The 11,135-nt window shown below is 51.9% G+C and overlaps 1 protein-coding gene across 3 annotated transcripts, besides 1 other annotated feature; it reads right to left on the bottom strand.

Annotated features, from left to right (window-relative positions):
* Positions 581-8,142, bottom strand: GP9 (glycoprotein IX platelet). Of its 3 annotated transcripts, XM_005247374.4 has the most exons (4): positions 7,386-8,142; positions 6,293-6,427; positions 2,137-2,229; positions 1,374-1,493 (listed from the first exon to the last, which is right to left on the bottom strand). In XM_005247374.4, the coding sequence occupies exons 1-4, from the start codon at positions 7,483-7,485 to the stop codon at positions 1,450-1,452; spliced, it is 372 nt and encodes a 123-aa protein (XP_005247431.2). In that variant the 5' UTR covers positions 7,486-8,142; the 3' UTR covers positions 1,374-1,449. The 3 variants fall into 3 exon arrangements, with proteins under 3 accessions (NP_000165.1, XP_047303953.1, XP_005247431.2); NM_000174.5 differs by lacking the exons at positions 6,293-6,427; positions 7,386-8,142 and adding an exon at positions 581-1,259 and having other exon boundaries at positions 1,368-1,493; positions 2,137-2,208; XM_047447997.1 differs by lacking the exons at positions 1,374-1,493; positions 6,293-6,427; positions 7,386-8,142 and adding an exon at positions 581-1,259 and having other exon boundaries at positions 2,137-2,208.
* Positions 9,163-9,212: an enhancer, noted in NCBI's record as "active region_20502". NCBI's record gives its function as "activates an Ori minimal core promoter by ATAC-STARR-seq in GM12878 lymphoblastoid cells {active_cell/tissue: GM12878}" and the evidence as "EXISTENCE:reporter gene assay evidence [ECO:0000049][PMID:35858748]".

The following is an 11,135-nucleotide window of genomic DNA, read 5'->3' as shown; positions in this document are numbered from 1 at the left end:
CAGATGTTAGCCCTGTAGGAGCTTGTTTTCCATGAGAAATAGAGAGATTTGTCTTGTTTGTGGAGAAGAGTAGAGAGGAGAAAAAGGAGAGAGAAGACGGAGGAGAGGATGGGGCCAGGTGCGCCCTGGCAGCCTCACAGCCAAGGTGGAGTGGTCAGAGGCCGTGATGGAAAAGGGCCCGCCAAGCCATTTCTGTCGTGGGGATGGAAACCCCTCCTCTCCTCCCTCCAGGGGCCTTTGGGACACCCTGCTCTGCTCACTACCGTGCTGGAAGAGCGAGATTTCTGGGGAATGTGGTGAGGGCTGGCCCCGGTGCAAAGCTGGCCTGGCCTGTCCAGGGTGGCCCACACCAGAAGCAGACGGCTGAGGCCATGAGACCCAGAGTCCCAGGTCCTGGCTTGAGATGTCCAGAGACTGTGCAGTTAAGGGTGAAGGGTGGGGGAGGTGGGCAGCCCATTTTACTAACAACTTGAGAAACAGGGAAGCCCCAACTGATGTCTGGTTATAACAAAATCGAGCCAGGTTTTCAGAAGGAGTCAGACTCAAATGCTGAGAGGGGAAAAAAAAAAAATCTCTGAGCTTATATAAAACAGCTGAGCTGCCAGTTTATTCTGGGCTTCTGGTGGTTTGGGCTGACCAGGCTTGGTGGAGTCTGGGGACCTGCCTCAGGGACTGGCCCCCTGGCCTGGAGCCAGGGGTTCTGGGGGCCTGGCTCAATCCAGGGCCTCTGTGGTGGCACACAGCAGGCCAGCCAGAAGAGCCAGGCCCAGCGCGGCCACGGCGACCAGCGCCACGTCCCACAAGACCCCCGGGCGCACCCAGGACGCCTGCAGCTGCCAGCCACAGCTGCCCAGCTGGTAGCCTGTCAGCCGGCCCAGCGGGCCATGGGCAGCGAGGCTGGGGCTGGCACAGCGGACCTGCAGCAGGGCCTCGGGCGTGCGGTCCTCCAGCCAGAGGCGCAGATAGGTGAGGCTGCAGTCACAGTGCCAGGGGTTCTGCGTCACATCGAGGGTCTGCAGCTGGGGCAGGTGGTCAAAGGCTCCCGGGGGCACGGACTGAAGGCTGTTGTTGGCCAGCAGAAGGTGGCGGGTGCGGGCCGGCAGGGCAGGCAGGGCCGTGAGTCCGTGGCCCCTGCAGTCCACCCACAGCCCCATGGTTTCCAGGGCGCGGCAGGTACATGGGCTGGGGCAGTCCTTGGTGGCCTCTGCTGTGGCCCAGAGCAGGAACAGGGCTCCCCAGGCAGGCATGGGACAGGCTGGCTGCAGAGAGAGGGGCTGTGAGGGAGGGCCTGGCAGCCTGGACCGATCCTCAGGGACGGCAAGCACTGGGGATGTAGCGGAGCCTGACATGGGACGGGGTGCACTCACCTCCCTTCTCGGGTCTCAGCCTTCTCCTCTGGGAAACCAGCTGGTGACTAGGGAAGGTGGAGTGTGCCCAGCCCAGGCCTGGCTAACTGTCTCTGGACACCGTAGAAGGCCGGGCGGTGAGGGCGGCTGTGGATTGGGTAAGTTTGTTTTTGGGAAGGGGAAGGGACTTCCTGGCCCTTAGCAGAGACCCCATCCCCTGCTTGGGGATGAGAGGAGCAGATGGCTGCTAAATGAGTCCCAGCCCAGGACCACAGTCCCCAGAGACTAGGAAAGAGCCTTGGAGGGCCCTGCAGGCTGCGCCCAGCACCCCCCACCAGCTAAGTGAGCTGTTACCTGATTCCCAGATGCAGAAGACAGCAGGACAGGGACACTGGCTGGAGCAGGGAGGGGAACTCAGTGGGACCCCATCTGGAAAACCACTCATCTGGGCTAACACTGACTTGGGGAAACTGAGGCCCAGAGAGGGAAAGCAATGTGCCCAGGGCCACCGGTGTGGTGTCAGAGGCCAGACTCACACTCGGGTCTCGGCAACCGTGGCCCTCTGTTTGGTTCTTCCCCACAGGCGTTTCCCCTCCACCAGCAGAGCTCCCCCTACCCACAGCAGGTTTCCAGTGAATAAGTGTCAAATCAACTCACTCATCTTGACTCAGCCAAGGAGATGGTGTCTCAGAGGGAATGTCCCACCCAACCCTGTCTTGTTAAAGGGACAGGAACTGACCTCCTCTCTCCCTGTGGGAGGCCATGCTGGGTAATACGGAGGGCCACTTACCTGTGAAGCCTTTGGTCAGGTGCTCCTGTCTGGCCTGAAAGGTCCTGGCTGAGGCCTGGGTGGCAACTCTATGGGATACAGCTGAGGTGGCCGCTGCGGGAGCGGGCGGAAGGAAGTGATGAAAATAGCCTGGCTTATCCCCCCAGTGCAGCCTTGGGGCCTATTTCCAGAGGCAGGAGGCCCTCAGGGGCCCGCGCCTTGGGCACAGAACCACATCTCAACCCCGGTTTATAGAAGGGGGTCCCACTGTGCCGCCAGTGCCTTGATGGGCTTTGGAATCAGGTCTGTGGAGGACTGAGGGTGGCCCCTCACCTGCTCCCAGAAGGTGGGAACTAGGAGACCCCTGAGAAACGTGGCTCTGCTGGTTGTTCCTCCGAATCTCAGTTTTCCTCATCTGTAAAGTGGGAGCAGTGACCGGTCCTGCCTGCCTCACAGAGGTGTGGGCTGGGCAGCTCCCACTGGCTGAGAACACCATGGTGGGGAGAGTGACTTCATTTTTAACTCTCCTCCCTCCTCCTGTATACTCAAGGACGGAGTCTCTTCTTGGTGCCATGGTGTTTTTAGCTCCTGCCTAGTGCTTCTCCATGCCTCTTTCTAACAAACAGCTGTAGGCCTGGGAAGCAGAGCCTCTACCAAGTGTGAATCTCTAGCTAGAATTTTGGCCTATGGTTTTAACATTTGCAGTACATTTTCTTCTAGAGCACATTCTACTTAGGGGAGGGACACCATTTTCCATTTATGTTAGTGACATAAAGCTTCCTTTAAAAGATAAATATATTTTGGGATGGAGAATTGCTTGAACCCAGGAGGCAGAGGTGGCAGTGAGCCGAGACCGTGCCATTGCACTCCAGCCTGGGTGACAGAGCGAGACTCCGTCTTAAAAAATAAATAAAACAGGGTAAAAACACAGAAGTTACAGAAGCCTGGCAGGAAAAGCCAAAGACAGAAGGCTGACGGAGGCTTTAAACGCACTTCGTTGACATTCAGGACCCTCGGGAATATTCCTCGGCCCTACGGGGGTGGGGGTGTGCTTGTTCTTATTTTGGTCTCACATCCTTCTCAGGCCAGCCTTCCTCCTCCTGCATGGCCAAGCAGGGTGAGTCCTTCCTTGGGAGGCCGCCTGTTCTCTCCCCGCCTCCTGGTTCTGGATTTGGGTAGGGCAGGATTTGGGTGTTCACCCTCCTAGGAGGCCCTGAGAGGCTGCCAGGCCCCAGCTCTGCTTCCTCCACCCACTGATGCTGGGCTCAGAGAAGGGTGGGGAAGGTGCTGTTCCCCCACTGATGTCACACCTGCTCGGGGGCCTGGTTGCTGCTGGGGGTCCCCTGGTATGTGCTCAGTGGGGACTCTGACCGGAGCCTGGACCATGGAGAGGAGCCTCAGCCTGTCTGGCCCTTCCCTCCCTCCCCATGGAGCCTTGGCATGTTCCACCTCCTCTGCCCTGCACACATTCACCAGTGAGCCCCACGCAGGTGGGTAAGGGGTTCTGGAGTGAGTGGGGGTGCTGGAGCTGCCAGGCCAGGTGTTGTGACCAGATCTGGTGGGGCCTGTGCCCTCCTTCCTCTTGAGCCTCTGAGATTTCCTTATTTTCAGCATGTACAACTTAAAACAAAAAACTAGATCAACATAGATGGGTTTTGTGAATTTAAAAAACTACATAAATAACAAATAAATGATTTTTGTTGTGGGAAATTAGAATGTTCAGATGAACTGGAAGAAGAAAATAAAAATTTCCCTCCATCCCAACATCAGGCAAGGCTTTTTCCCCATGTGTATTTACCCATATGGGTAAATACATACCCATCTGCCCAAGAGGCACAGGATAATGCAGGAAGTGGATCTGTAAACAGCCTGGGTGAGCCTGCAAGTGGATTCTCCCAGAGCCTCCAGAGAGGAATGCAGCCCTGCCAGCAGCTTGATTTCCACCTACAAGTGATGCAGGGCAGGTGAGCCCCCAAATCAGGGCTTTGCCCCTGAGGGCTCTTGGCTTTGGCCAGGAAAGAAGTCAAAGAGCCAGTGGTGAAGAAAGCCGCTTTATTGAAGCAGCAGTGCATAGCAGAGGTGCTGCTCTCTGGGAGCAGGGCTACCCCACAGGCAGTGTGCCCAGAGCAGTAGTGTGTGGGCTTTTGGCAACTGCACTTACAGCCACTATTCATTACATGCAAATTCAGGGGCAGGTTATTTCAAACTTTCTAGAAAAGGGGTGGTGAGTTTCCAGAACCCTGTAACTTTCAGGTTGTTGCCATGGCGTGCTGCCATGGCATTTGTAAACTACCATGGTGCCAGGGGGAGTGTCTATGTTAGTGAGCAGTGAGGGCAACTAGCGGTTGCTTTCGTTCCCATCTGCTGGTTTCTGGTGTCTGCCAGCTTCTTCACTACACCTTGTTTCAACCAGATCCTGCTGCCATCAGCAGGCTGGGGACCGGGGGTCCTGACAGGTGCTCAGAAAACAGGTCCTGCTGATCTACCTCAGGAGGGCTGGAATAAGAGAACCCACAGGAGCTGTGTGATGAAGAATGAGAAAATAAATGTGTGCTGCATTAAGCCTCTTGTGACAGCAGCAATAGGAACCAAGGCGAAGGCCAAGCCCCACTCTTGTGCTGTGAGTTGTCCCCTCTCCATCCTTCCAGGACATTGCCCCATCAGGTGCCCCTTCCTCTGCATGATCAATTTCTCCTTCACTGGGTCATTCCATCAGGTTAGGAGCAGCCAGACCAGGCGCGGTGGCTCACGCCTGCAATCCCAGCACTTTGGGAGGCTGAGGCAGGCAGATCACTTTAGGTCTGCCTAAAGTGGGTTTCGAGACCAGCCTGACCAACATGGAGAAACACCATCTCTACTAAAAATACAAAATTAGCTGGGCGTGGTGGTGTATGCCTGTAATCCCAGCTACTTGGGAGGCTGAGGCAAGAGAATCACTTGAACCCAGGAAGCGGAGGCTGTGGTGAGCTGAGATCGCGCCATTGCACTCCAGGCTGAGCAACAAGAGCAAAACTCCGTCTCAAAAAAAAAAAAAAAAAAAAGAAGCAACCTATAATCCTGCCCTTTTGAAAAATCCTTCCTTAATTCCACCTCTTTCTCCAATTACCATCTGATTTTTCTGCTTCTCTCTTCCATAAAACTCCTCTGAAGAGTCACTTCTACTTGCTGTCCAACCCATCAGTAATTCCTGTCATTTCAGTCACCAGGATCTATTCAGAACTTAACCACTTCTCCCTGTGCTGCTACTGCTCTGGTCTTCGTTCGCCTTCTTGGCTTCCCATCGCAAATAAAAGAAAACCCGTGCCCCTGTGGTCAGGAAGCTACAGGCCCCCCTGTAGCTTGGCCCCTGCCTATTTCTTGACCCCATCACCCACTGTCTACTTTGCTCATCAATGTCCAGCCACACCAATTTTCTTCCTGTTGCTCAAACACTCCAGCACTTTCCTGCCTCAGGGCCTTTGCACTTGCTGTTCCCTCTGCCTGGAGTGCCCTTCCCCCAGAGCCCCACATGGCTTCCTCCTGATCATCATTCTCATCTCAATTCAGATGACCCCTCCTCAAAGGCCTCCCTTGCCAAGGCACAGCTCCATCCTTCTGTACCATAATATTCCATTTCATATCTTCCTTAGCATTGATCAGGATCTGAAATGATCTTATTTTTACATTTTTATGTGTTTATTAAATGTCTCCTCCCATTGATGTGAAACTCAAGAGGGCAGAGACTCTGTCCCATTAACTCTTCCCTCCCCAGCACCTCTGCCTGGCCCATGGGCATTATCTAATACATACTTGTCAGCCTTGCTGGCTGTCTCTTCTCTAGTGCTGGCCTTATCTGTGTCTTGCCAGGACTGCTGTCTCCTTGATGCTGGCCTCTGCCTCTACTATACAGGTTTAATCTCACTACACTCCTGCTCCATGTCTTTCATGGCTCCCTGCTGTCTTCAGGACACCCTCTGCCACCCTGTCCAGCCTCACCTCTCATCTCTTCCTGATCTGAAGCTTCGTGGTAGGCTAGCCATGTCCCTCACTCCCCACCCACATGCCAACTTCTGTCTGTGCTTTTGCCTCTGCACTGCCCTCTTTCTGGAGCCCTGTGGAATTTTGCCTGGCATGCTGCATCCTTTAAGATTCACCGGGGGCATAACTTCTTACGGGAAGCCCTCCTCGACGCACTCACCCAGCCGTTTGCTTATCTGTTTGCAAATGGGCCCAGCAGCTCCTTGGAGAACCTCAGCACCCACTAGGGAAGTGTTCGCAGATCTTGTGACTAAAAGTTGGTTGAGCCTCTCAGGCAATTTCAGGTGATACATGCCTATGACACAAATAACGAGAAACATGAGGGAGACAGCCACTCCTTTCTTGTCCCCTGAGCTGAAGGAAACAGCCTCTGTTTGGTAATCGTATTATGAGGCAAACTGCTTAGGTAAACTTACTTTGGAGGCTGGGATCTTTCAATATCCCCCAAGACAATTTTTCCTTCTCATGGGAAGCAGAGGGGATTAAGAGGCAGTGATTATTAGGTAGCATTTTTAGCCTGTGTGCAACCAACAGGAAATGGGTAACCCTGTCTGCCACTGTTGGACCCCCTTGGAACAGAGCCTCTGCTTGCTGGATCTTTGCAGATGCAGGTCTCCGTCACCCCGGCTGTTCTGAGCCAGCCTGTGGAGCAGCCTGCCTTGCTCTGAAACCTGGTTTTGCTACTTACTTGCTCTGTGACCTTGGGCAATAGTCTTAGCCTATCTCTGCCTCAGTTTCCTCATCTGCAGAATGGGGAAAATCAAAGACCCCACCTCCCAGACTGCTGTGAGGAAAGAGTGAGATAAGCCTGACAGGTGCTTTGCTGGGGGTCTGGCCACAGCAGGCACTGTGGAAGTCATCATGGGCAGGGGCCACTGGCACACTGTCAGGGAAGAAAGGGGGGCCTGACAGCCAGGCGTGATGGCTCACGCCTGTAATCCCAGCACTTTGGGAGGCCGAGGTGGGCGGATCACTTGAGGCCAGGAGTTCAAGACCAGCCTGGCCAACATGATGAAACTGTCTCTCTACTAAAAATACAAAATTTAGCTGGGCGTGGTGTCACGCGCCTGTAATCCCAGCTACTCGGGAGACTGAGGCAGGAGAATCGCTTGAACCTGGGAGGCGCAGGTTGCAGTGAGCCGAGATTGTACCATTGCACTCCAGCCTGGGCAACAGAGCAAGACTCTGTCTTAAAAAAAAAAAAAAGAAAGAAAGAAAGAAAAGAAAGGGGGCCCTCACACCCTTTGACGTACCTTCTCGTGTCTGAGGATTTTTGTCTCTTGTGATTAAAAGGATTAAACACAGTCTAGCTTGGCACAAAGATACCCCTCCCCAGCTGAAAGCCCTAACCATGGGACTTCGACCTGCCTCTCAGCCTTGCTGTCTGGCCCTTCAGCTCAGTGGCTGTATCTGGTCAGAAATGAATGATGATGCTTTATTTGCTATGAACTTATTGTGATGTTAGTTTGTGTGTATGACAGGTGAGACTGGTTTCTCAATTAAATTCGAGCATACAAACTTTCTTTCTTAAAATACATTTATATACATTTAAAAAGAGAACTGATTCTAAGAAAAATATTAAGTGTAAACTAAAAATAAAATTATAAGCCCCTGCCAAACTGAATGGACCCCTTTATGGCCAAGGGGACCCCAGAAAAACTTTAAAACTGAGCTTCCAGCCACGACAGGACAGGAGGTCAGAAGCCTCGTTATACCTCCTCCTTTTTGTGCTTCAGACACAACAACTGACCAGCATTACTGTTAAAATAGAGATAGACAAAATAGAGATAGTAAGACTGACATGACCGACTCTTTGTGGCAAATAAGACGCTAAATTATAAACAGAACCTAAGGCCATGCCAGGCAAGGGTTAAGTCAGTCACCCCACACTTAAAGAATGAACCTGTTCTCACTGCCACAAGGCTTTTCTTTTTCTCTAGCAGCTAAACAAACACTGGCCTTGAGATAAGCAATACTGAAACAATTTGCAGTTCCACCAGATGTGACTAACTGACCCCCAACTCCTGTTCCACCAGCCATAACTGCAAGAGACTGATTTCAATAACTTTCTCCAGATAAGAAGACCACTGACCATGGTCCACCCCAGCCTGTTTACAGAGGTTGCGCACAGAGTGCCTTTGTGTCCTGAAAAGCCTTTTGACATATAGGGCCTAACTGTAATATGTTTATATGTTCAGTCTCCACCCCAGAGCAAACATGGGTCATATATGAATTTGTTAGGAACACCTAAGTGTTTGTTCAATATGAATGTGTTAGGAACACCTTAATGACTACTCTTTTTTTTTGTTTTGAGACGGAGTCTTGTTCTGTTGCCAGGCTGGAGTGCAGTGACGTGATCTTGGCTCACTGCAACCTCTGCCTCCCGGGTTCAAGCGATTCTTCTGTTTCAGCCTCCCAAGTAGCTGGGACTACAGGCGCGTGCCACCACACCCAGCTAATTTTTGTATTTTTAGTAGATGGGGTTTCACCATGTTGGCCAGGTTGGTCTTGAACTCCTGACCTTGTGATCTGCCCACCTCTTCCTCCCAAAGTGCTGGGATTACAGGAGTGAGCCACTGCGCCCGGCCATGACTATTTTTTTCTTTGTTTTTGTGACAGGCTCTCTCACCCAGGCTGGAGTACAGTGACTCAATCTTGGCTCACTGCAGCCTCAACCTCCTGGGTTCAAGTGATCCTCCCACCTCAGCCTCCTAAGTAGCTGGGACCACTGGCACGTACCATTACCCCAGCTAATTTTGTATTTTTGGTAGAGATGGAATCTCACTATGTTGCTCAGACTGGTCTCTAGCTCCTGGGCTCAAACAATCCTCCTGCCTCAGCCTCCCAAAATGCTAGGATTACAGATAGGAGGCACAGTGCCTTTATGAATATTCATAGCTCCTCCTGTAGCCAGTTGAATATGTATGTTTAGCCAGACAGGTCAGCATAAAGCTCCTGCCCCAACCCCTCCTCTTTCAAAGTGCTCGGCCATTGGCACACTTCCCAGCCTGCAGATGGCCACCTTGTAGGCTGGCACCTTTTACAGGAAATAAAGGCTTCTCTTCTTCTAAATGTATACGTGTGTGTGTGTGTGTGTGTGTGTGTGTGTGTGTGTGTGTGTGTGTGTGTTTTAACACAGGTAATAGCACAGATGATGGGAAGATGTGGCAAATACCCACGGCAGGGGCCGTGAGGGGGCAGGGGTTCATTCGGAGAAGTTAAACTTGGACTCCCGGAGCTCATGCTTGGAGGCGCTTTGGAACCGTTTACCATTCATTTTTCCTCTCAGGGACAGCATTTGCCACCCAGTGGAAACAGTGTGAAATTACAGGACATTTTTTGCCGTGGGGAGAGCAAATTAAGGTCAATGGAATGATTTTCTTTTTTTTGCCAGAAGTTGAGAGAGAGGACATTAGTTAGAATTTCCCAGAAAACATTTTTAATGTGTTGCAGGCCATCTGAACAATCCCAAAGAAGCTCTTATAGAAAAAAGGCTAAAGGAGAGTGGAAGATGTGAAGTCTATGCATAAATGTTCGATTCTCCTATTTTTTGAAACCTTGTAGGATGACTGCCCCTCTCCGCCTCTCTATGCATCTAGGCCTGGCTTTGTGGGCATGGGGCTGGGGTAGCTGCAGGGGACTCCCTGCTCAGAAGGGCCCTGTGCCTGGGGTTGTAAGCTCTGTGGCTGCTGTCTTGAAATTCATAACAATTTTATCTTTAAATTTGTATTTTGTAAGGGAAGTCTGATGGGACTGTAGGCATGCATGGGGGACTTGGAGCCTGGGCCACAAGCGGTGCCCCTCCCAGCACCTCCTTGCCTTTTGACTATCTGGGCCCCTGCACCCTATCCCCTCACCCCCACCCCAGGGCCTGAAAAAGTATGCACTCCCCTGACCCCTGTATCTCTGCATCCACGAGTGCCCCTTCAGCTGGCTCCATGCCTGGGAACCCTTGTACTCCTTCCAACCTGCTAGTGATTATTGTCAGGGCTCCAATGGTTACTGGTAAACATACAAGCCTGCCACAGCGCTCCCTGTGACAGCTCAGTGGGTAGCGTGGAGGACTGCGAGAATCTGCCACAGACATATGTGCGTAGCCCCTATGCTCTGATGGAGCATGAGTCTCTGTTAGGAAATTTGTTATTACTGCTCCATGACAAACCATCCCCCAAAACTAGCAGCTTCAAACAATAGCATTTTTAATTTTAATTATTTATTTATTTTAAATTTTTTAGAGACATGGTCTCACTCTGTCACCCAGGTTGGAGTGCAGTGGTGAGATCCTAGCTCACTGCAGCCTGGAACCCTTGGGCTTAAGAGATCCTCCCACCTCAGCCTCCTAGGTAGCTGGGATCACAGGCATGCACTGCCACAGCCAGCTAATTTGTTGTTGTTATTGTTGTTGGAGATGGGGTCTCCGAAGGTTGAGCTGTTCTCAAACTCCTGAGCTCAAGTGATCTTTCTGCCTTAGCCTCTCAAAGCACTAGAATTACAGGTGTGAGCTACCATGCCCAGCTCAACAATGACATTTATTTACTTATTATCTCACTTGTTTCTGTGGGTCAAGAACTTGGGAGTGGCTTAGCTGGGTGGTTCTGGCTGTTGCAGTCAAGATCTCAGCCCAGTGAGACCAGCATCAGAGGACTTGGCCTGGGCTGGAGGAGACGCTTTTGAGATGTGAGTCGTGGCTGTTGGCAGGAGGCCTCAGTTCCTTGCTGGCCATTGACAGGAGACTTCGGTGACTCTCCGTGTGGCTCTCTGCACAGGGCAGCTATCTTTCCCCCAAGCAAGGGATCTGATGGAGAGCAAGGAGGGAGCTGCCAGGCCTCTTATGACCTGGTCTCAGAAGCTGCACCAGCAACTCTGCCACACTCTGTTTATTGGTGAGTCATAAAGTCTATCTAGCTCACTTTCAAAGGGAAAAGTGTTAATGAGCCTTTACGATTTTTTTTTAAGAGACAAGGTTTTGCTCTGTTGCCCACACTGGAGTGCAGTGGTGCAAT

This window comes from Homo sapiens, chromosome 3 (genome assembly GCF_000001405.40).
Source record: "Homo sapiens chromosome 3, GRCh38.p14 Primary Assembly".
Classification (NCBI taxonomy): Eukaryota; Metazoa; Chordata; class Mammalia; order Primates; family Hominidae; genus Homo; species Homo sapiens.
The sequence above is the reverse complement of the archived record's forward strand: the minus strand, read 5'-3'. Positions and strand labels throughout refer to the sequence as shown.

Bases quoted from the DNA above. Each gene is read 5' to 3' on its own strand.
- GP9 (NM_000174.5), bottom strand. From the start codon at position 1,247: ATGCCTGCCTGGGGAGCCCTGTTCCTGCTCTGGGCCACAGCAGAGGCC.